Source organism: Homo sapiens, chromosome 8 (assembly GCF_000001405.40).
Source record: "Homo sapiens chromosome 8, GRCh38.p14 Primary Assembly".
Taxonomy (NCBI): Eukaryota; Metazoa; Chordata; class Mammalia; order Primates; family Hominidae; genus Homo; species Homo sapiens.
The window spans coordinates 129,638,874-129,664,017 of NC_000008.11; the positions used below are offsets into that span (position 1 = coordinate 129,638,874).

The window sequence follows — 25,144 nt, forward strand, 5'->3', positions numbered from 1 at the left end:
TTAGAGGTAATATGGAGTATGAACCACCTGGATGGGTTTTGCACTATTTCAGAAGAGCGATGATGTATGTCAGAACCAGGTTAAAGATAACAGGAATGGAGAAGGCAAAGCACGTTAAATACAGATTAGTTTGATGGGACTCAAAGACCTAGTAAATAAAAGAGGAAGGTTAAGAATGATCTTGAGGTTTCTGGTACAGACGATTCACTGAATGGAAAAGCCATTGACCGCGGAAATAACATGAGTAATTGGCAGTTTACAAGATAATGGACACAGTTTTGAACATATTGAATCTGAAGTCCTTGGGCACATTTCCAGAAGAGACAACTAGAAGTCAGCTGTATATAAGAAGCTGAAGGCCAGCATGAAGTCTTAAAATGAAATTTGGCAAGAATTCACAGTAGCATTAGTTTAAGCCATAGGTTTGCTTAACCCCAGAAGAGTTTATGAGCTGAGAAGGAGTGGAAGACTTGAGGGTAGGCAGGAACTCGCATGGATCCCCGAGGTAAAAGGGGAAAGAAGCACACAAAGGGGATGAAGAGGGAGAATCAGGGAGGTATGGAAAAAAACAAGCAAAGAAGGGTCATGGATGTCTAAGAATAAGAGAGAGCTATTGGCAGTAAGATCTGAAACAGAATACAAGGAAAGCAATCTCAACAATCCAGGTGGAAGAACTGCTCTTGCAAGGGCCCTTGAAGAAGGAGAGAGCACCATATATTCTTCTACATAATCAGATGGCTCATGGACCTAAAGCACACAGGGTAAAAGTGACCATAGCGGCCGGGCGCGGTGGCTCACGCCTGTAATCCCAGCACTTTGGGAGGCCGAGGCGGGTGGATCATGAGGTCAGGAGATCAAGACCATCCTGGCTAACAAGGTGAAACCCCGTCTCTACTAAAAATGCAAAAAAAATTAGCCGGGCGCGGTGGCGGGCGCCTGTAGTCCCAGCTACTGGGGAGGCTGAGGCAGGAGAATGGCGTGAACCCGGGAAGCGGAGCTTGCAGTGAGCCGAGATTGCGCCACTGCAGTCCGCAGTCCGGCCTGGGCGACAGAGCGAGACTCCGTCTCAAAAAAAAAAAAAAAAAAGTGACCATAGCAAGATGAGGCTGGCAGGTGGGGAAGGCCAGACGATGCAGAGCCCTGAGACCCATGAAAAAGCGTCTGGAATCTATACTTAAAACAGAGGAGAGCCATTGGAAGTTTCAAGCAAGAGGGTGATATGATCAGAATGAATTTATCATGTATATTCAAGGATATAAGTTGTTTTGATATGCATATACATAGTGAAATGATTACTGCAGTTAAGCAAATCATTCTATCCACCACCTAACATAGTTACCTTTTGTTGTTACTGTAAGAGCACCTAAAATCTACTGTCTTAGTGCAGGAAGCGGGAGGAAATAAGGAAAAGTAGGCCAAAGTGTACATACAGACTTTCAGTTACATAGGATGAAGAAATCCAGAGGTGTAATGTACAGCATGAGAACTATAGCTAATAATAGTATTGTGTTGTAGACAGAACAAGCTTTAAACAAGCTACAGGGTGGAGACGTTTCCTAGAAGGTCAAGAGTGAATGCAGGGAAACCAGTTAGGAAACTTGCATAAATGTTGTGATAAAAGCTCACAGCCCAAAGCATGGGCTCTGGAGTCAGTCTGCCTGAATTTGGTTGCCACTTCTGTCACAGGTTGTGGGCAAAAAAATTAACTTCTTGGTGCCTCAGTTTCTATATCCAAAGATGGGTGTGCAAATACTTCCTATCTCTAAAGATGGTATTAGGATTAAGTGTGATCATATGTGTAAAGCACTCAAAACAGTGTCTGGTACATAGTAAACACTCAGAACATCTCCCATTATTGCAACCATGCAGTGAAAAATAGAAGGGATTAGAACTGTGGCCTATAAAACGGAGAGAAGCAGATGAATTTAGGAGATTTTTTTTTTTTTTTTTTTTTTGAGACAGAGTCTCATTCTGTTACCAGGCTGGAGTGCAGTGGCACGATCTCAGCTCACTGCAATCTTAGGAGATTCTCTTTAGGCAGCAAGAACTACAGAACTCTAGTGTCAGCTAAATTCATGGAATTTTGTTTACTTATAGGAAAATGGTAGAAAATAATGTTGAAATGGTAGCTTATAAATGTATAGTATTTTGTGAATACAGTCGATTTTTAAATATTGTTACAAATTCTGATTTTGTATCATGGACCTGAAAGTGGAAGTCCAGATAAATAAACAGGCAATGTAAAGATTTGCATTTCTTAGAACGGATGCGAGAAGCAGATTGTAACCTCATCTGCAAATGGGTCTATTATGCGTGAAGCATTACCAATTGTTCTGCCTGGCTTTTTGGAGAGATTTCCCACAACAACTGCTAGAGATGCCAGTGATGAAACAGAAAAGCTTGCAAAAGCAACAGCAATATCATATTCTTCTCTTGACATCGAGGTCCAAGAATCTGGGATGTTTTATTAGGGAGGATTAAAAAAATATATGTGAAAGCAGAAAGCGCATAGCACAGTCCCTAGTTCATAGAAGCTGCTGAAAAAAATATTGTTCTCTTGCATTACGTTTGAGGGCAATAGTTACTTCTTTGTGGATCTGCTAACATCACAAACCACTAAGGTACAACATAGAACATGGAGAGCTGCATTAGCTAAAAGTGTTCAATGTACGTCACTTTGCTTGAGAAAGATAATAGCTCCTCATTTGCTACATTCATTTTCATGACCACATACTTGATTCATGACAAAAATTACATGAGTTGCATACTTGTTTTCAAACTTTTAAAAACTGTATACTCATTTATGCCGCAAGATAAAAGTCATCAAAGTCATCATCAAAAACATGCTAAAAGTCACTACTCAAAGATTGCTCCCTCATCATAACCCCCATGATCTATTCTTTGTTGTTTTTTTTTTTTTTTGACATGGAGTCTCACTCTGTTGCCCAGGCTGGAGTGCAATGGCATGATCTCGGCTCACTGCCAATCTCCACCTCCTGGGTTCAAGTGATTCTCCTGCCTCAGCCTCCCAAGTAGCTGGGACTATAGGCATGTGCCGCTACGCCTGGTTAATTTTTGTATTTTTAGTAGAGACGTGGTTTCACCATGTTGGTCAGGCTGGTCACGAACTCCTGACCTCAGGTGATCCACCCTCCTCGGCCTCCCAAAGTGCTGGGATTACCTGTTCTTATAGAGACTGTAAACTATTTTAGACAAAAGTAAGGAATAAATAGAAAAGGAGAAACAGAGAGAGGAGATTAAACGCTACCAAGCTCTCCGCACCCCAAGTGCTGCACTAAGTGCTCTCACATGTATCTAATGTGATCCTCCCCACTGTCCTGTGCAGGAGGTATTGTTATGGAAAAAACAATACAGTTCAAGGAGGTTAGAAATCAAGGTAGCAGAGCTACCAAATGGCAAAGCAGAGGTTCAAATTTAGTTCTATCTGACTGTAAGTCTCATTCTCTTTCCATTGCACTGGTATTTTATGTGACTCTTAACATATCTTCCTGAAAAAAAAAAAGAAAATAGCTTACTTTAAAAAAATCTAAATTCAATTAAATAAAAACATAGGTTTCCCTTTTCTAACAATGGTAGAATAAAAGATTCCCTGCATAAGGAAAAGTCTTTGCCACAGTGAAATTGAGAAACCATTTTGAAAAGATTGACGTTCTTCTGGTCATCAACCATATATTTATTAAGGTGCCTCCAGATGCACATGCAACTCAATGATCTCATTACTAATTTTGTGAAGTCATAGGGTAGAATGCAAGACAATTTTGCTAAGTCAAAGAAAAACAGTAATCATAAGTAGGGTAAAGTAGTGACAAGCTGGGGACATTTAGACAAAGGAAATAGGAAATAGAAACTGACTAGCAACACACACACAAAAAGCACAATGTTTTGGAGTTTAGGGAAGTGGCTGTGCTTAAAGACTTCTTTGTTATTTTACCAGACATATTTCAAGACTGTTAATTATTTATATGCCTCTTATTTCATTTTGAACTCCTTGGGCTTGGTGTGTTGTTCATCCTAGTGTCTAAAAATCTTGCACAGTGATTGGCATGTGGTAGATAATATATGTTTTTTGATGGGACAAAAGAATGAAGAATAAAGAAGTATTAGAATAAAGGAATGAATGAATATGAGTGAATTTATTAATACATTTTCATTAGGAATATTTCTCTGAAAAATAAATGCTTCACAGTTAAGATTGTCAAAATTTTATCACCCTTTCTGCCCTGTTAAAAAGCAGTAGGTCTAGACTTTTGGCCAGCGACAATGTGGACAGTGGTAGCAAATGGGTTTCATAGAATCTGAAATATGGTAGTGAGGCTCCTCAAATACAAAGGAAGGCAGTAGGTCAAGCTAGTGTTTTAATAGATTGCTGAGAATTGAAGGCCAAGAAGACTAAGCACAAACTTCACAGTGGACATTGGTTGGCTGCCTCCTTGCTGCCTACTCCCCTCCTTCCCAATGGTCTGACTTCTGTCTGCTCCCCAGGAACAGAGCTCATAACTTAGGCCATGCTTTAGGACAATTCTGTGACTTTAGTCTATTCAGAATGAATCTCAATACTTATGCCAAGAAATCTCAGGAAAGAAGTTTTTCACATCTGCTGGATGAGACCAAGGAGATGTTACTCCAGGAGCAGTTGATATGCGTCTTGGGTACAAAGACAGAAGGAGACTTAGTATGAAACCAGGCAGAAAATGGAAAGAGATCATGTCTTTGGCAACAGCACTATCTGAGACTAAAGTTTTATCTCTGAACTGTTCAGTTTGTTTGCTTTCCTTGTTATTTTTAATACAATGCACCCTTACTGACACTAAAACCACTAATCAAATAAAATCATACATGGAGCAACAGATGGGAGAGTGGTCCTGAGTAATTTCCTCACCTCCAGCTGGTGTTTACACTTGCCCTTCTAGGCCAGTGGATGTGTGATGTACAATAGTATCCAATAGCTTAGAAGATCAAGAAGGTCAGATGAAAGTGAAGATGTAGGTCTGAGTGAATTTCCATGCTCACTAGCTTGTCCTTGTGCATCCTTGGAGAACCTGGCTAGATCAAACACAGTTTACCCCTACAACCAAACTTTAGGGTTCACTGGAGAAGCTAATCAATCTCTCATCATGTTGCAGATCCAGATGACTCCCCTACTCCCCAGCTCTTTCCCAAAAATCACTCTATTGCTAAAGCAGGCCATGCAAGTTAGGTATCTTTCTCCCTAATTGCAGCTCAAGTTAAGTATCTTTCTCCCTAATTGCAGCTGCAACAAAGGCAATTTTGACAGAATGAACTAAAAATGAGAAATTTAGGAATTGTGGAAATGAGCAAAACTCTTAAGTGGCTGTCATTTTTTAAAATTTTTAATTTAAAAAATCCCAGAGCATAACAGGGGTGGGGGTAGGAGAAGATTGAGCAACAGCTGTCATCTGGAAATCTGATATAGGGTAATGTAATCAGGTTGGATTTGCAAAGTCCATTTAGTTTGCAACAGGAAATAGAACTTTTCAAGCCCACATCACTAAGTTCAGGAATATGTCATCTTCTGGATGGGAACCGAGGCTTCCAGCCACAATCACTTCATTCAGTGAGCTTTGATATAGATCTGATTATTTAGGGGGTTTCTTTGGTGGGCCAGAGCAGGCAGGCCATCCTCCAAAGTAGACATTGACCCCCGCCTCCCCCAACTCCCAGCTAGCCCATACCATGTAATCATGCTAGGAAAGTACAGGGATGATGCAATGAATTCCAACAGGATAGGGGAGGAACAAGAAAGAAAAACACGCAAACCCCAAATCTTTTCTAAGTCAGTACAGCAACTGGAGGATTTAACATGAAATTCCTATCCATGGGACCATGGCCAAACCAGGAGACAGCATAATTACAGGAGATAAGACTCGGAATAGAATAAATGAGAAGCATCATCACAAAGCTACAGATTTCACAGGAAATGAAGATGACACACACAGTGGAGTTTCTATGATCAGGAGAATCCGTCAGGATTAAAGTATGTATACTTGTAAGGATCTTCATTACCATAATATTTAAATTTATATAAATATATGCATATGAATTCATGTTCGCTAGTTCTATTTAATTCAACAAACATGTAGATTGAGCCTACTAAGTGGAAGGCATTGAGGTAAGCCCTGGGAATAGAACAAGGTTTTTCAGCCTCAGCACTATTGACATTTTGAATCAGATAATTCTTTCTTGGGGGCAGGGTGGGAGTGATCACTGTCCTATGCATTATAGGATTTTTAGCAGAATCCCTGGCCTCAACACACTAAATAGCAACACTCCCCCACAAGTTGAGACAAACAAAACTATCTACAGAAATTACTAAATGTCCCCCATAAGTGGGGGACACAAAATCATCACTGAGAACCACTGGAGTAGAGAAGTAGTTAAGACAATTATAACAGTTTAATGTGTTTACTCTGGGATTAAACGATCTGTGTTTGCTTCCTGACTCTGCCACATATTGGCTTTGTAACCCAGGGAAAGTCATTTAATATATTTCTAATTTCAGTATCCTCATACATAAAATGGAAATAACATGACAGAAAGCCAAGTAGAATTGTTATGAGGATTAATGGGAAGATTAGCATGAGGGCTACTAGGCAATAGAGACCAATCTTTCTGTCTTTTGACACCATACCAGGGCCAGTTTAAGAATGCAATAAATGGTAGCTGCTATTTCCAATGAGCTCACAGTGTAATGCAAAACAATAACAGAAAGTACACAGTTAATTTTCTTTATTATTTTATTATACTTTAAGTTCTAGGGTACATGTGCACAACATGCAGGTTTGTTACATAGGTATACATGTGCCATGTTAGTTTGCTGCACCCATCAACTTGTCATTTACATTAGGTATTTCTCCTAATGCTATCCCTCCCCCAGCCCCCCGCAAAAGGCCCTGGTGTATGATGTTGCCCACCCTGTGTCCATGTGTTCTTGTTGTTCAACTCCCACCTATGAGTGAGAACATGCAGTGTTTGATTTTCTATCCCTGTGATAGTTTGCTGAGAATGATGGTTTCCAACTTCATCCATGTCCTTGCAAAGGACATAAACTCATCCTTTTTTATGGCTGCATAGTATTCCATGGTGTATATGTGCCACATTTTGTTTATCCAGTCTATCACTGATGGACATTTGAGTTGGTTCCAGGTCTTTGCTATTGTGGATAGTGCCACAATAAACATACATGTGCATGTGTCTTTATAGTAGAATGATTTATAATCCTTTGGGTATATACCCAGTAATGGGATAGCGGAGTCAAATGGTATTTCTAGTTCTAGGTCCTTGAGGAATTGCCACACTGTCTTCCACAATGGTTGAACTAATTTACACTCCCACCAACAGTGTAAAAGCGTTCCTATTTCTTCACTTCCTCTCAAGCATCTGTTGTTTCCTGACTTTTTAATGATCGCCATTCTAACTGGAATGAGATGCTATCTCATTGTGGTTTTGATTTGCATTTCTCTGATGACCAGTGATGATGAGCATTTTTTCATATGTCTGTTGGCTGCATAAATGTCTTCTTCACGGAATTGGAAAAAACTAATTTAAAGTTCATATGGAACCAAAAAAGAGCCCACATAGCCAAGACAATCCTAAGCAAAAAGAACAAAGCTGGAGGCATCAAGCTACCTGACTTTGAACTATACTACAAGGCTACAGTAACCAAAACAGTGTGGTACTGGTACACAACAGATATATAGACAAGTAGAACAGAACAGAGGCCTCAGAAATAACACCACACATCTACAACCACCTGATCTTTGACAAACCTGACAAAAACAAGCACTGGGGAAAGGATTCCCTATTTAATAAATGGTGCTGGGAAAACTGGCTATCCATACGTAGAAAGCTGAAACTGGATCCCTTCCTTACACCATATACAAAAATTAACTCAAGATGGATTAAAGCCTTAAATTTAAGACCTAACACCATAAAAATCCTAGAAGAAAACCTAGGCAATACCATTCAGGACATAGGCAAGGGCAAAGACTTCATGAGTTAAACACCAAAAGTATTGGGGGAACCCGCCCCCGGTATTTCAACGTAGGTTCTTTCTATTTTCCATAAGTGTTGGCTGGCTGAGAAATAAAGAGAGACAGTATAAAGAGAGGAATTTTACAGCTGGGCCACCAGGGGTGACATCACATATCAGTAGGACCGTGATGTCCCTGAGTCTCAGACCAGCAAGTTTTTTATTAAGGTTTTCAAAAAGGGAGGGGGTATAAGAACAGAGAGTAGGTACAAAGATCACATGCTTCAAGGAGCAAAAAGCAGAACCACTAATAAGGGCCTAACAAAGATCACATGCTTCTGAGGGAACAGGACAAAGGGCAAAAGCAGAACCACTGATAAGGGTCCAACAAAGATCACAGGGCAAAGGGCAAAAGCAGAACCACTGATAAGGGTCTATGTTCAGCAGTGCATGTATTGTCTTGATAAACGTCTTAAACAACAGAAAACAGAGTTCAAGAGCAGAGAACCAGTCTGACCACAAATTTACCATGGCGGAGCTTTCCCAACCCTAGTAAGCCTGCAGGAGATCAGGGCTTATCTCAGTCCTTATCTCAACTGCACAAGACAGACATTCCCAGAGTGGCTGTTTATAGACCTCCCTCCAGGAATGCATTCCTTTCCCAGGGTATTAATATTAATATTCCTTGCTAGGAAAAGAATTTTGCAATATCTTTCCTACTTGCACATCCATTTATAGGCTCTCTGCAAGAAGAAAAATATGGCTCTTTTTGCCCAACCCCGTAGGCAGTCAGACCTTATGGTTGTCTTCCCTTGTTCCATAAAAATTGCTGTTATTCAGTTCTTTTTCAAGGTGCACTGATTTCATGTTGTTCAAACACACATGTTTTACAATCAATTTGTACAGTTAACACAATTATGACAGTGGTCCTGAGCTTACATACATCCTCAGCTTACGAAGATAACAGGATTAAGAGATTAAAGTAAAGATGGGCATAGGAAATTATAAAAGTATTATTTGGGAACTGACAAATGTCCATATTAAATGAAATCTTCACAATTTATGTTCCTCTGCCATGGCTCCAGCTGGTCCCTCTGTTCAGGGTCCCTGACTTCCCGTAACACAAAAGCAATGGCAACAAAAGCCAAAATAGACAAATGGGATCTAATTAAACTAAAGAGCTTCTGCACAGCAAAAGAAACTCAGCAGAGTGAACAGGCAACCTACAGAATGGGAGAAAATTTTTGCAATCTACCCATCTGACAAAGGGCTAATATTCAGAATCTACAAAGAACTTAAACAAATTTACAAGAAAAAAACAAACAACCCCATCAAACAGTGGCAAAGGATATGAACAGGCACTTCTCAAAAGCACAATTAATTTTCATAAGTTTACCTTATAAGTCATATTCAATATTTCTCCTATATTTCCAAAATCCCATTTCACCTCCAATTCATAAATGTATGATTTCCCCTTCTAGACCCAATGTCTACAGCCATGAATCAGACTCAAGACTTTGTACCAACACTGTTGCCTCAACTGTCCATTTCCAATGCACCCTCTATCCTGCTACCAAAGTTTATTTCCTGAAGGTCAGCTCTGAAAACCATATTGTTTCCTTTACTCCACCAACTCCACATAGCTTTGTCTAGTATTCAAAGTCTTCTATGATTTGAACTCATCATGGTTTTCCAGTCATTTGTCCCTTTATAGTTAGCTCAACTCCAACCTCTTCCAAAAAGTTTTCACAGATCCTCTCAGGTAGAATTTATTTATTCCCTGACACACTTGCCCCATACTTTCATACATCCATAAATTAACTACTAACAATCTGCCTCCCCCAAGAGTTCCTTATGCCTGTCTGTCTGCTTCACTAGTATAAGAGTTACTAAGGAATTGAGACCAATCTTTTCATTATTCTGTACCTTCAATGCCAAGTCTGACACAGTAGAGTAACTACACACTCCCTATAAAAGAAAATAAAGAGAACTTGCATGGCACAAAGAAAAAAATACTTTAGACAAGAACCATCCAGATTAGACAGCATTTGGTTAGCCAGTGTTTCCTGGCCCATTAGAATCAATCATCAATTAAACAGAATCTTTGGACGAGGACACCTAGCATCAGTATTTTTTAGTTTCCCGGGTGACTTCAGTTGCAGAAAACTACAGTTGAACATAATATCTGAGAACAGTTTCCTCACTCAGGATGTCCACGTTTCATTTGTTGGGCCAAGTCCAATTACTTGATAGTGGCTGTCTGGAACACTGCCTTGAGAAGGATTTAGAGGCTCCCTTGGGTCTCAGCAGAAGAGAGTATACAGATTGATTGTCAATGTCTGTCAAGAGCAAGTAATCAGGGAGCTGAAACTATCATGCTGCTAATTGGCATCTCTGTGATTGATGCATGAATGAAAAGGAACTTGGTGGACCTAATGACTATCATACATGCACACACACACACAAAGACACACATATATACACACATATTCATGACACTCATATATAATTATCATTTATATATAAACATACACATGCATATATATTTATATATGTATGTTATATATAATAATAACTCACTTTCAGAGTGTCAGCTATATGCTGAACACTGGGTTAAGCATTGGCAATATTGCTAAACAATATTAATGTGGGCTCTGCCCTCAGGGAGCAGACAGTCTAGGGGAAACAGTATTTATAAAATAATCACACAAACAGTTAATTAAAAAGTAAGAAAGAAAACTAAAGGATGCACTACAAATCTCCATGAAAGTGATACTGAACTAGTTTAGAGGAACAGAGAAGGTCCCCCTATGGAAGTGGCATTTTAGTTAGGATATAAGTGATGCATAGGATTTGGCAAGGGCAAGAGTGGAGGGAAGAGCTTTTCAGGCTAGAGGCCAACCCATGGGGGAAGGATGGGAACCCAGGCTCCCACACACAGAGCTCTGTGCTCTTGGCAAGTTACTTTAACTCTGTTTGGCTCATCTGTAAATGGAGGACTAATAAGCCATAGTGTGTGATATCGTTTCAAGGCTGCAACCAGATACTTCACGTTACATATGTAGTGCTGCCTATACCACCATGCAGCAGGGAGAAGTTGTTCCACGATGAAAAGTACAAACACTATGGAGCCTCAGATCAGACTTTGGCTCTATCATTTACTAGCTGTGTGGCTTGGTCAAATAATTTCACCACTCTGAGTCTCATTTTCCACATCTGTAAACTGAAGGTAGTTATTAGTTACAATGAGAAGACCACAGTGGTTAAGTGCCTGCCATCTGAAGTCAGACTGCCCGCATTCAAATTCTGGCTTCACCACTTTCTAGCTGTGTGGCTTGGGCAAATTAACCCTTGTGTGCCTCAATTTCCTCAACTATAAAATAGGGATAATAATTGAGTCATTGGTGAAGATTCAGTGAGGCAATGTATGTAAAGGACTTAACACGGTGCCTGTCACAAAGAATGTACTTGAAAGAATGTACTTGGCAAATATTGATTCTCTTGGTAATTTCTGATTTGGTAGAATTTACTCTGCATTAGTATTTACTCATAGGAATTAATTCTAATTACACCAAATGAAAGATACCAAAAGCTTTGAGTTTTCAAGAACTTTGAAGCTAAGAAACCCACAGCAGAGCTGCCCCACAGTATGTTCCCATCTGTGAACAAGCAGAGCTGGTGTTGGCATGGATGATGCTGTGCATTAACCTGGCATCTGCTTTCAGGACCCTCACTGCACCACCAGAGGTTTTGAATTTCACTTTCCACAAAAGCAGAGGCCCACATAGCACCTACACTCTCATGAACTGGATTAGCATCCTTATAAAAGGGGCCTGAGGGGCCTTATCTGCCCCTTCAACCATGTTAGGACACAGCTAGAAGGCACCATCTTTGAAGGAAAGAGCAAGCACTCACCAGCCACCCAATCAGTTGGTGTCTTGATCACAGACTCCAGAACTATAAAAAAAAAAACTTCTGTTGTTTATAAATTACCCAGTGTAAGACATTTTGTCATAGCAGCCCAAACAGATTATGTCAGAGGGTTTTCTTTGAAAAAGCAGTAGGCAGGAAATAGCAGGAACTGTAATGATTTCTGCCCTAGGTCCATTCTCCAAAAGTAGTACTTTTCAACTTTGTTTCGGAAGCTAATTTTTTTGTTGAAAAGCATTGAGTCACATAGTGTTGGTAGTCAGGCCATGAGACACAAGAGAAGGTACTAGAAGGGAAGAACTATTTTGTAAACTCACTCCCCTCCCAGTGGCACCCCAGTCCCACTCCCAGCTCCCAGCTCCTCTCCTGAGATATTGAATGGGTCACACTCCCGAGCAGGGGTCTCAAGAAAGGGAGAATGTGAAGGATCCAAAAGCAAATCCTAAGAAAGGAGTAGGGAAGCAGACTGATTATTGAGATGTTGTGCTTTATCATGAAGATGCTTTTGGCTGCAAGTAATAGGGGGAAAAAATCCAACGGCTCAAACACTAAGAGAAGGACTGAAGAAGGAGTGTTAACAGGGATGGCTATTTCAGAGGCTCAATGACTTCATGATGGACCCAGGTTTACTTCTAGCCTTCCATGCTGCCATGCTCAGTATGTTCTCCTAAGGTTTGCACCCTTTATGGTCACCTAAAGAAGAATCGCAGTTGCAGTCATTATATGCAGGCACGTCAGTATTCAGGAGCAGCAACAGAGCACCCAACACTCCTTCCCGAAAATGAGGAAAACCTTTCCAGGAAACCCCTGAGCAGATCTCCATTCATATCTCATTGGACAAACTAAGTTCACATGCCAATGCCTAAACCAATCACTGTGAAGTGACTGGTTCCATGATTATTGGCTTAGACCCGTCAGAAGTCACTCCCTGAGCCTGTGGCAATTGCAGAGCCCAGCCTTTCTTGATAGTCACCGAGAATGGACACCTAAGCAAAATCAGACTTCCGTGAGCAAGCAAGAAAAGGCAGGCAACAGTGTCTGCAAAAGAGTGGCACAAAGCTGAAGCCCAGTGATAGGACCAGGGCCACAAGGCAGAAACTAGGACCCAAGGAATCAGGAGCAAAGAAGAATCCCCATTATCATGGCTAAATTAAAGGGACATGATTACTAAAAGGGAATTACGAGGGGGGTAGAATGAGCACAGTATGCACACACACCTGCCCTGTCTTGAATGAAGGAAGAAGAGGCGGAAAGGGCACTAAGCTAAGTGCATGGATAGGAAAATCAGTCAGCTGCTACCCTGAGCTATTGCCCAGAAGCACAGGGCAAACCCTGCTCTATACTCCTAACCCCGAAAGCAGCCAGCCCAGGGTGATTGTCTCTATTCTTGAAGTGAGTACAAAGAATTTCACATAATGTCAAAAGACTCATATCTCAGTGCCCATCTTAGCCAATTCCTGCACTAATGACACTTCTGAGCCTTGATTTCTTCATCTGAAAAATATAAGTGATAAAAAGACCATTCTTTTCTTTTTTTTATTATATTTTAAGTTTTAGGGTACATGTACACAACGTGCAGGTTTGTTACATATGTATACATGTGCCATGTTGGTGTGCTGCACCCATTAACTTGTCATTTAACATTAGGTATATCTCCTAATGCTACCCCTCCCCCGTCCCCCCACCCCACAACAGGCCCCGGTGTGTGATGTTCCCCTTCCTGTGTCCATGTGTTCTCATTGTTCAATTCCCACCTATGAGTGAGAACATACGGTGTTTGGTTTTTTGTCCTTGCGATAGTTTCCTGAGAATGATGGTTTCCAGCTTCATCCATGTCCCTACAAAGGACATGAACTCATCATTTTTTATGGTTGCATAGTATTCCATGGTGTATATGTGCCACATTTTCTTAATCCAGTCTATCATTGTTGGACATTTAGGTTGGTTCCAAGTCTTCGCTATTGTGAATAGTGCCACAATAAACATACTTGTGTATGTGAAAAAGACCACTCTTTTCAAAGCCTCACAAGAATTACAGGAGATCATGCAAGGGCTGGGCACCAGATAAAAACGTGACTATATTAATAGTCATTTATAAACCTCTAACAATCTCAGCTTGTGCAATGTGCCTGACTCATGATACAAAATAGAAGATATCTTTTACCCCACAACCAAACTAGCCAGGAATTCAATGAAAGGAATCATATCAACATATTTCTAATCAAAATGGAGATCCTAGACTTTGGTGGCCCAACTGTAAGAATAAACAGCTCCTTTCTATCTTTCAATTTTAAGGTTTCTTTCCATTTTTGTATTTCTTTCCAAAAAACAGAACTAGTCTCTACATCATTCTATGTGCAAGCAGCAGTAACTATTCAGCATGTCAGCTCTCTGGTTAAAAGTTATAGTTTTTCATTTTTGTTCCAGAGAAAACACCATCCAGAAATATAATCATAATATTCCAAAGGAAAGCATAGTCATTTTTCAAATCTCTCAGATGTACATGATACCATGTCCCAATTTGTACGCACCCCAGATCCAGCTTTTGAAATAAAGAGGGACTTTGGTTACAAAACTCTGATGGCACTTGATTTTAGTAGCAAGAGCAAAATGTTTCCATATTAGCTTTGCTATTAGCTTACGGTGCTACCTTCACCAAGTCACTTCCCATCTCTGGGCCTCACTTTCTTCATCCAAATGAGGAATTGGACTCGTTGATTTCATGGATTCATTCGAGTATCTACCACTTAGTAAGAACTGGCGCTGTCTGAGAGATTTTTATCTCTAATACTCACTGCAGAGAACTGAGTCTCAGCAAGGTTAAGTCTGGGTTCAAACCCCAGTCTGTGTAACAATACAGCCCTTAAATAATTTACTATACTGTCTTGAAACATCTGCTCTTTCCTATTTTACCACTTTTTGAATTTTTTCAATAAGTCACTTATTTCTCACCCTTTATAGATCTGGATTATGACCTCAAGACCACGTAACTGGTTTTGTTATCTATGTGTCAGTTCGTATAGCTCCCTACAAAGGATGGGGCAGAGCGGTAGGGATGTCCCAAAGAGGCAGGGACTGGGGGCTAAACCTAAGACTGCTGGAATCCTGCACCCTCTCTCATCACCCCATTTTTGTCCCAGGCAGTTGTCTTCCAGCTAAGTGTGTCCTCTCCCCACCTAGTCATTAGAAGCAACCCAAGACCCTCTGAGCACTGAGGGTGAGAAGGGCACCGCCCATCCCCAGGCCCGCTTCCTTTCAACAACTTCATAAAGGCTTCCTCGGACACGGCGTTATAGGGGATGCAACCTCGGAGTTCAGGGGTTCCTGAGACTGGTCACCCCTCCTCTCTGGCCTTTCCCAAGCTTGTTGGGCAGCCACCTTCTCCCTTCCTGGCCTAATCATCTACAACAAAGAGTTTGATGAAGAGGGACTGTAAGAAGGGTGATATTTAAAGGGGGAAAAGATATCCATTCTAAATTCAGACAAAAGATGAGATTAAATGGTTCAGAGAATGGCCTCTCCAACTTGCTGAGAAGGCCTCTGTGAAATTAACATACTTCCCTAGCTGAGAAAGCTGCCCTCTCTTCACATCCATATGCTTGAGAATGTCAACCCAGGAACCTGGTTTAAGATTTGCTTGATGTCAAGAAGAGAAATAACTGCAGAAAAGAACTGATCTGAGACCTTCGTCTTTCTCAGGTCAACTGTGGGGCTTTGCCTGGGGCACAGGTACTCAGCAAAAACACTAATTTCCCCATTCTTACCAGCGTTAGAAATGGAAGCAATAATCTGAGAATCTGGATTCTAGCTTGGTGAGTTGCCACTAGAGAAGAAACACCACTACTTGGCAGCTGTGTGGCCTTAAGCAAGTTACTTGACCTCTCTGACCCTCAGGTTCTCCATAGATATATCACTTACCCAGTTGTCGGAGTGGTTAAAGAATGAGATAAGGTATGGAAAGTAATTAATTGGTAACAAGAGTGCTCATTTTCTCTTTCCTTCCCTCCCAAGTTTTTTCATTCCTACATTTTCTCCCTTCCTTTCTACCTACCTTCCTTTCTTGTCTCATTCAAGGACTACACTTTTCAATATCTGCTCTGGGTGAGTTATTTTGCTAAGAGCTAAGATTACCAAGATAAGTATCACACCACCCCACCTTCTTGTTTAAGGAGGAGACAGTTTCAATTGTGTGGTAAAAGCAATGGAAATTATGCACAGAATTTAATCCATAAATACTAAATACCTAGACCCTTGGAGTTTAGGTGGTGCTTCTGGAGCTCTTCTATCAGTCCCTGGGTCGACAATTCACCAAGCTATTTATCAGTTTATATTACCCCGCATGCTACTAGGGCAGATTTGGGACCAGGACTCAGGTCTGGTGGCCCCTGCCTGAAGCTCTTTCAAACATGAACCTGATGGCAAAGAATTAGAAGGTCATGAACCATGATTTTTAAATATGCCACTTAATTCATGCTCAAACAGAAACTATTCTCCTTTTTTATTTTTCTGTCTCAAAAAAAGAAATAAATAATAACTTTTAAGGTGAGATCACTTTGGTGATAACGCAAGTCTACAGAGCTACAAAATAATTCAGCTTTCAAAAATAGATGTAGACCCAGAGAAAAAACGGTCACTGGGGAAGGGAAGCATCAGCTCTTACCCCACCCTTTTTGAAACCAAACCACACAGAACCCTGAGTGGGCTACTCAAATTCCAGCTGAGACTGTAGGCTGAGACAAATACTTGTTTTTAAAAAGTCACATGCACAGATGACCTTTGTAGTGTTGTTGATTATGTCTAGAAGGGTAATGCGGAAAGAGCACTGGTCATGGCATCAAGAAAGGACTTCTGCAAATGCTGTCTTGGAGACCTGGGCTTGTCCCTCGTCTCATTGAGATGTACATTTCCTAATGTGTAAGATACTGTAAGGAACCAGTGTGCCAGAATACAAAAAGTGTTTCAAAATTATGGAAAAGTGCTGTCCAATCTAACCACTAGTCATGTGTGCCTATTAAAATTTAAATTAATTAAAATTAAGACCAGGCATGGTGGCTGATGTCTGTAATCCCAGCACTTTGGGAGGCCAAGGCACTGGGTTGCTTGAGCCCAGGAGTTCGCGACCAGCCTGGGCAACATGGCAAAAGCCTGTTTTTGCAAAAGCCAGCTAATACAAAAATTAGCTGGGCATGGTGGCATGCTTACAGTCCCAGCTACTTTGGAGGCTGAGGTGGGAGGATCCCCTAAGCCTGGGAGGCATAGGTTGCAGTGAGTTGAGATCACGCCACTGAATTCCAGCATAGGTGACAGAGTGAGACCTTGTCTCAAAAAATAAATGAATAAAAAATTAAATTGAGTAAAATTTAAAAGTCAGTTCCTCAGTTAAACTACCCACATTTCAAATGCTCAATAACTACATGTGGCTAGCTCCTCCTGTATTAAACAGAGCTGAAACAGAACACTTCATCAATGCAGAAAGTTCTATTGAATAGCACTGGTCCAGAGGAAATAGACCACCCTGATGATAATGGCTACCTCTGAGAAGAGGTTGGGTGCTGGGAGAATTTTTTTAACTTTTACTTTATAAACTTCTGTATTGTCTATGTTGCCATGAACATGTGTCTTATTTATAATTTTTTAAATAAAGAACAACAAGGAAGTGATTGTCATTGAAAACATGATAACAGTTACTTCCAGAGAAAGGTGGATGATCTGGAAGGGACTCAGGATAGACTTCTGGGATGCTGGGAATGAAATACTTGGGCACAGATACTCAGCAAAAGAAATTTATTTTCTCATTCATGACAGCCATAGGTGTGGATAGAGCTACATGCATGTACACTTTAAAATTATTTATAAAAGTTGTCTTATACACTGTATTAGTCCATTCTCACACTGCCATAAAGATATAACTGAGACTGGATAATTTGTAAAGAAAAGAGGTTTAATTGACTCACAGTTTGGCATGGCAGGAGAGGTCTCAGGAAACTTACAATCATGGTGGAAGGCAAAGGGGAAGCAAGGCACATCTTCCCATTGCAAAGCAGGAGAGAAAGAGAGTGAAGCGGGAAGTGCCACACACTTTTAAACCATGAGAGCTCATAAGAACTTACTCACTACCATGAGAACAGCATGTGGGAAATCCTCCCCCAGGATCAAATCACCTCCCACCAGGCCCCACCTTTAACACGTGGGGATTACAATTCCACATGAGATTTGGGTGGGGACACAGAGCCAAACCATATCATTCTGCCCCTGGGCCCTCCCAAATCTCATGTTCTTCTCACATTTCAAAACATAAACATACCTTCTCAACAGTCTCCCAAAGTCTTAACTCATTCCAGCATTAACTCAAAAGTTCAAGTTCAAAGTCTATCTGAGATAAAGCAAGTCCCTTCCACCTATGAGCCTGTAAAATCAAAAACAAGTTAGTTACTTTCAAGATACAATGGGCGTACAGGCATTGGGTAAATGTTCCCTTTCCAAAAGGAAGAAATTGGCCAAAACAAGGGAGGTAGAGGCCCCACAGAAGTCCAAAACCCAGCAGGGCAGTCATTAATCCTAAAGCTCTAAAATAATCTCCTTTGACTCCATGTCTTACATTCAGGGCAGGTTGATGTAAGGAGTGGGCTCCCAAGGCCTTGGACAGCTCCACCCCTGTTGCTCTGCAGGGACAGCCCCTGCAGCTGCTTTCATAGGATGGTGTTGAGTGCCTGTGGCTTTTCCAGGTGCATGGTGCAAGCTGTTGTTGGATCTAGCATTCTGGAGTCTGAAAGATGGTGCCCCACTTCTCACAGCTCCACTAGGCAGTGCCCCAGTGGGGACTCTGTGTGAAGGTTCCAGCCCCACATTTCCCCTCTGCACTGACCTAGTAGAGGTTCTCCATGAGGGTTCCTCCCCTGCAGCAGACTTCTGTCTGGACATCCAGATGTTTCCATACATCCTCTGAAATCTAGGTGGAGGTTCCCAAACCTCAACTCTTGTCTCCTGCACACCCACAGGCCCAACATCACATGTAAGCCATCAAGGCTTGGGACTTGCACCCTCTGAAGCCACTGCCTTGGATGTACCTTGACCACTTTAGCCACAGCTGGAACAGGAGCAGCTGGGATACAGGGTGCCATGACCCAAGGCTGCACAGAGTAGCAGAGCCCTGGGACTGGCCCATGAAATCATCTTTTCCTCCTAGGCCTCCAGGTCTGTGATGGAAGGGGCTGCCTCAAAGGTTTCTGACATGCCGTGAAGACATTTTCTCCATTGTCTTGGCTATTAACATTCAACTCCTCTTTACTTATGCAAATTTCTGAAGCCAGCTTGAACTTCTCCCCAGAAAATGGGTTTTTCTCTTCTATCACATGGTCATGCTGCAAATTTTCCAAACTTGTGTGCTCTGCTTCCCCTTTAAATGTAAGTTCCTATTTCAGACCATCTCTTTGTGAACGCATATGACTGTAGGCTGTTAGAAGAAGTCAGGCACATCTTGAATGCTTTGCTGTTTAGAAATTTCTTCCGCCAGATACCCTAAATCATCTCTCTCAAGTTCAAAGTTTCACAGATCCCTAGAGCAGGGGCAGAATGCCCCTAATCTCTTTGCAAAAGCATAGCAAGAGTGACATTTGCTCCAATTCCCAATAAGTTCCTCATCTCCATCTAAGACCCCCTCAGCCTGGACTACCACTGTCCATATCACTATCAGAATTCTGGTCACAATCATTCAACAACTGTCTACAAAGTTCCAAACTTTCCCTCATGTTCCTGTTTTCTTCTGAGTCCTTCAAACTGTTCCAACCTCTGCCCATTACCCAGTTCCAAAGTTGCATCCACATTTTCAGGTATCTTTATAGCAATGCTCCTCTTTCCTGGTACGAATTTTCTGTATTAGTTCGTTTTCAAACTGCTATAAACAACTATGTGAGACTGGGTAATTTATGAAGAAAAGAGGTTTAATTGACTCAGTTTTATAGGCTTAACAGGGAGCATGATAGGAGGCCTCAGGAAGCTTATAATCATGGCAGAAGGCAAAGGGAAAGAAGGGACCTTCTTCACATGATGGCAGGAGAGAGGAGAGAGAGAGCAAGTGTGCACACAAAGAAGGAAGTGCCACACACTTTTAAACCATCAGATCTCGTGAGAACTCATTATCATGAGAACAGCATGGGGAAATCTGACCCCATCATCCAATCACCTCCTACCCCAGGCCCCACCTTCAAAACTTGGGGATTATAATTCCACATGAGATTTGGGTGGGAACACAGAGCCAAACCATATCATGCACTTTTTCACGTGTGTTTTATTTTGCAGTATATTCTTAATAAGACATTTTTTAAATGGATAAATTGTTTGGCTGTCCTTCTCACCAACAATGAGGTGTTGTTCTTTGCACTAATAAGTGATCTCCAGTTTGTTGAAAAAGAAAAAGGGCTCAGTCCTCAGCTGCAACTTCTCCCTTTTAAGCTGCCCTTAATCGTGACCCCCCAGCTAATGTTTGCTCCTGCCAGGAATGCTCATGAGAAACCAGCAGAAGGTATCAGGTAATACTGATAGAACTTACCTAGGAGGCAATTTGGCAATATATACATAAATACATTTAAATGTATATTAATATGCGTTATGCTTTGATACATCTATTTTAATTGGATTTTACTCTAATAAATTACCTGAACAAAGATGTAATTATTAATAGAGGGATGCTAATAAGTGATTTCCATAATAGCTAGGAAAAAATAACTGGAAAACAACTTCAATATCCAAAGCAACAAATGGGCTAAATTCTGATATATCCAGACAACCAAATACTGAACATATTAAAAAGTCATACTGTCAGAAAATATTTGATGTGGAAATCCATTCATGCTATATTAGGAAGAGAAAAAAAGCAGATTACAGAAAAGCAAATATAGTAATTTTTTTGGTTGAGAAAAATTTATACTAAAAACTACCTTTGCAAATACAGTCATGTATTGCTTAATGATGGGGTCATATTCTGAGAAATGTGTTGTTAGGTGTTCTCATTTTTGTGCAAACATCATAGAGTGTACTTACAAAAACCTACATGCTATAGCCCATTACACACCTAGGCTATATGGTATAGCCTATTGCTCTTATGCTACAAGCATGTTACTGGACTAAATAGTGCAAGCAATTGTAACACAATTGTAAGTATTTATGCACCTAAAAATAGAAAAAATATAGAAAAAAATACAGTATGAAATATTTTGAAAGAGCACACCAGTATAGGGCACTTACCAGGAATGGAACTTGCAGGACTGGAAGTTGCTCTGGGTGAGTCAGTGAGTGAGTGCTGAGTGAACATGAAGGCCTAGGACTACTATACACTATGTAGACTTTTTTATTGTTTTGTAATAATACTTAGCTTAAAACACAAATACATTGTACAACTGTAAAAAAAATTCTTTATGTCCTTATTCTATTTTTTCTATTTGAAAAAATGTTTTTTATCCTTTAAACTTTTTTGTCAAAAACTAAGACACAAATGCACACATTAACCTAGACCTACAGAGGATCAGGATCAGGATCATCAATATCACTATTCCACCTCCACATCCTATTCCACTGGAAGGTCCTCAGAGGCAATAACACACATAGAGCTGTCATCTCCTAGGATGACAATGTCTTTTTCTGGATACCTCCTGAAGGACCTACTTAAGGATGTTTTACTATTAACTTTTTTATGCATAAGTAGAAGGAATGCACTCTAAAATAATGATTAAAAATATACTTTAGTAAATACATAAGCCTGTAACATAGTCATTTATTATCAAGTATTATATACTGTACATAATTGTATGTATTATACTTTTATAGGAGTGTCAGCACAGCAGGTTTGTTTAAAGCAGCATCACAATGAACACGAGTAATGCATTGTGCTATGACACTACACTGGCTATGATGTTACCAGGTGATAAGAATTTTTCAGCTCCACTATAATCTTATGGGACCACCGTTGTATATGTGGTCTGTCATTGACCAAAGCATCATTATGCAGCACATGACTGTACTTCTTTATACTTTTTAGAGAATACATTTTATTCTCTAAATTCCCTAGAGTGGATATGCATTAATTTTTAATCAGATAAGAAATTTATTACATAATCAGAAGTTACTTAGGAACTTCTCTTCCACATTTCAAAGCTATGTGAATGCCAGGAGGAGTTTATCAGATAATTATAAAAGCAAGTCAGTGCAGTCATTTCACCAATTGGACATTAACTGCAGATGACCCAAGATGGGCCAGTCAGAGCACTTCCCTGGTTTTTTACAACTAGGGACCTAACAGACAAAGTCTCAGTTGCTCCCCAGTGATGGAAAGTAGGACTCTATGGAAAGTGGGACTCTAGCACTATGTTCCTTTACCAGGTGGAAAATTCAGACTAAGGTAGGAGGTGATAAGGCTGGTACACAGACAGGAGAGAGAACATGGTAGGAAAAGCAAACCTTGGCGATGTTTCTCTTACCTTTAGCTTGGCCTAAAATTGCTGGAGTTGGGTTTCTGTCACTTGCAACCCAAAGAGTCTGGCCTTGGCTTTTACAGAGAGAAACTCCCTGACCTGATTCAAGCCTGCTGGAAGTCAGTGGCACATTTACCTGGTTTTTAGCTAGTCATTTTCAAGTGGATCAGATTAGGTGAGTGATAAATGATAAGTTGAATTCTTGAAATGACAAAGTAAGAGATGAATGATTAGTGGTTGCCAGGGGTTGGGGGTAGTGGGGAGGGAGATCCTTGTGGGGATGGGACAGTTCTTTATCTTGATTGCAGTGGTAGTTACACAAATATACATGTGACAAATGATGTTGGACTATCCACCCACATTGCACCAGTGTCAAAGTCTTGGTTGGAATACTGTATTATAATCATGTAAGATGTAACCCCTGAGAGAAACTGGATGAAGGGTGCAGGGGGCCACTGTCTTTACAACTTCCTGTGAATCTGTAATTATTTCAAAATATAAAGTTAGGAAAAAAAGAAAGCAACAGCTGTAAGTCCAGCATGGCATCCTAGATTGTATCCCAAAGCAGAAAAATGACATTGTTGGGAAAAATGGTAAAATCCAAATAAACTCTGTAGTTAATAGTAAAAAAAAAAAAAAAAAAAAAAAGATACGCAGAATTGAACTGAAATAAAATGAATCAGATTTAATTGAATTGAAAAATTACAAGTAAGGTAAACATAGAAGGTATTAAATTAATATCATTTAATTTATTTTGTCACCCCAAAAGTAAAGACTAGACGTCTCTTTGTATTACTATGAGGGTAGGAGATGAGATGAGAAATGTCCCAATTACTACATTATCCTTAGTGTCTACTATAGGGCCTAGCACATACTTGCAACCCAATGATGAGAAAATAAATGAATATATGTTCTCTTCTCTATCCATAGGTTGCTAGAAATATATTGTACCCAGTTATATGGGATGTGAACATCACCATGTCCTCCCATGGCTTAGTAAATTATGATTGAAGCTAACATGATACCTAACTGCTGACTGCATAACTTTACTGATACTCCCTATCAGCTGCATATGCAAAGTGAATGTAGTACATTACCTGCAACTTCCTCCTTAACTGAAGGAATATTAAGGCCTCAAATGACTCTGTTAATGGAAATTGAATAGCACAATGGCTATTTAATTTTCTAAATAGCTTCTCTTTCAGTGCTATGGATGCCCGCTATTAGGCAAAATCAGAAATATGTTAGACTCATTGGACTCACTGAGAAATCCAGTGAGGGAGAGAAAGAAAAAAAAAAGGAGTGTGAGTGACTAGATGTCACAGAGGATCAATTTAATACACAAGAGGGAAACATCATTCTTACATCACAATAGAAAATTTTAGGCAAGATTCTTTCTGAAAAGTGGGAAACCCTATGTTTGAGCACCCTGCCTTCTACGTTATATTCCGTTAGGTCCATATGATTCCTTCAGTAGCATTTATTGATTACCTACTATGTGTCAAGTACTGTTTTCTCAAGGAAACCCTTCAATAACATTGTTAAGTGAGAGACTATTATTATCTTTGTGTTACAGATGAAGAAACTGAGGTACTAAGAAGCTAAATGACTTGTCTATGATCAAACAGATTGCCAGGAGTACACCCGAGATTTGAACCCAGGAACTACAATATATTGCCTCTTAATCATAAAACTTAAAACCCCCTTCAGTAACTGTTTACCTATCAATGTCCTTCACAAAACTATAAGCTCTTAAAGAGCAGAGACTGTGCTCAATTGATTATCCAGCACCTAGTGTCTCATGCAGAGTTTGTGCTCAATGAATGATTAAGAATGTGAGCTTCTTAATTTACAGATTTTTCTTGATTTTTTTATTCATAAGAAACCAATACAGAATTGAATGAGCTTAGAATGCAGAATTTTAAAATACAGATTGTTCATCTCTGTATCTTCAAGTTCTGGCACTGTATCTTCAAGTTTTTTGATGTGTTCTCAAAAAAAAGAGACTGAATGAAGAAGTTTTTTGAGTAGCCTTCATGTCCATGATCATAAGAGCACTTCAGTTAATACATAAAATCTGGAGTGAAAGACAGATGGAAATGAGCCTGTCTAATTGAGCCATGAGTGACTAACCACACTAACACTCAAAGCCATCCCTCAAATTTCTTTCTATATAAGAAAAAAAAAAATCGAGGCCAGGCATGGTGGTTCACACCTGTAATTCCAACACTTTGGGAGGCTGAGAAGGGAGGATCACGTAAGGCCACGAGTTCAAGATGAGCCTGGTCAACATAGCAAGATCCCAACTCTACATAAAAAAAATATACTTTTTAACTAAGTATGGTGGGACTTGCCTGTAGTACTAGCTACTTGGGAGGCAAAGGTGGGAGGATCGCTTGAGCCCAGGCTGCAATGGGCTGAGATCCCACCACTACACTCCAGCCTGGGTGACAGAGCAAGACCCTGTTGCTAAAACATACACACACACACACACACACACACACACACACACACATATATATACACATATATATACACATATAAATTTTTTTAATTAGTGTGTTCCTAATAATCAGAAATTTGCTTATCTTTCCCTCAAGTTACAATAAAATTAGACCTTTGTGTTATTAGTCTTTGAAATTTACTATATATTGGTCACTTACTTTGGAAAAAATAATTAATTAAGGTTTGAGTTATCAGAATAGGTGATATATAAACAAAGCGCATTTAAAAATAA

The 25,144-nt window shown here is 40.2% G+C and overlaps 1 long non-coding RNA gene across 1 annotated transcript in view; it reads right to left on the minus strand.

Moving 5' to 3' along the window:
- The window catches only part of CCDC26 (CCDC26 long non-coding RNA), a 328,546-nt gene that overhangs the window by 287,180 nt on the left and 16,222 nt on the right, over window positions 1-25,144 (minus strand). The window lies entirely within an intron of this gene.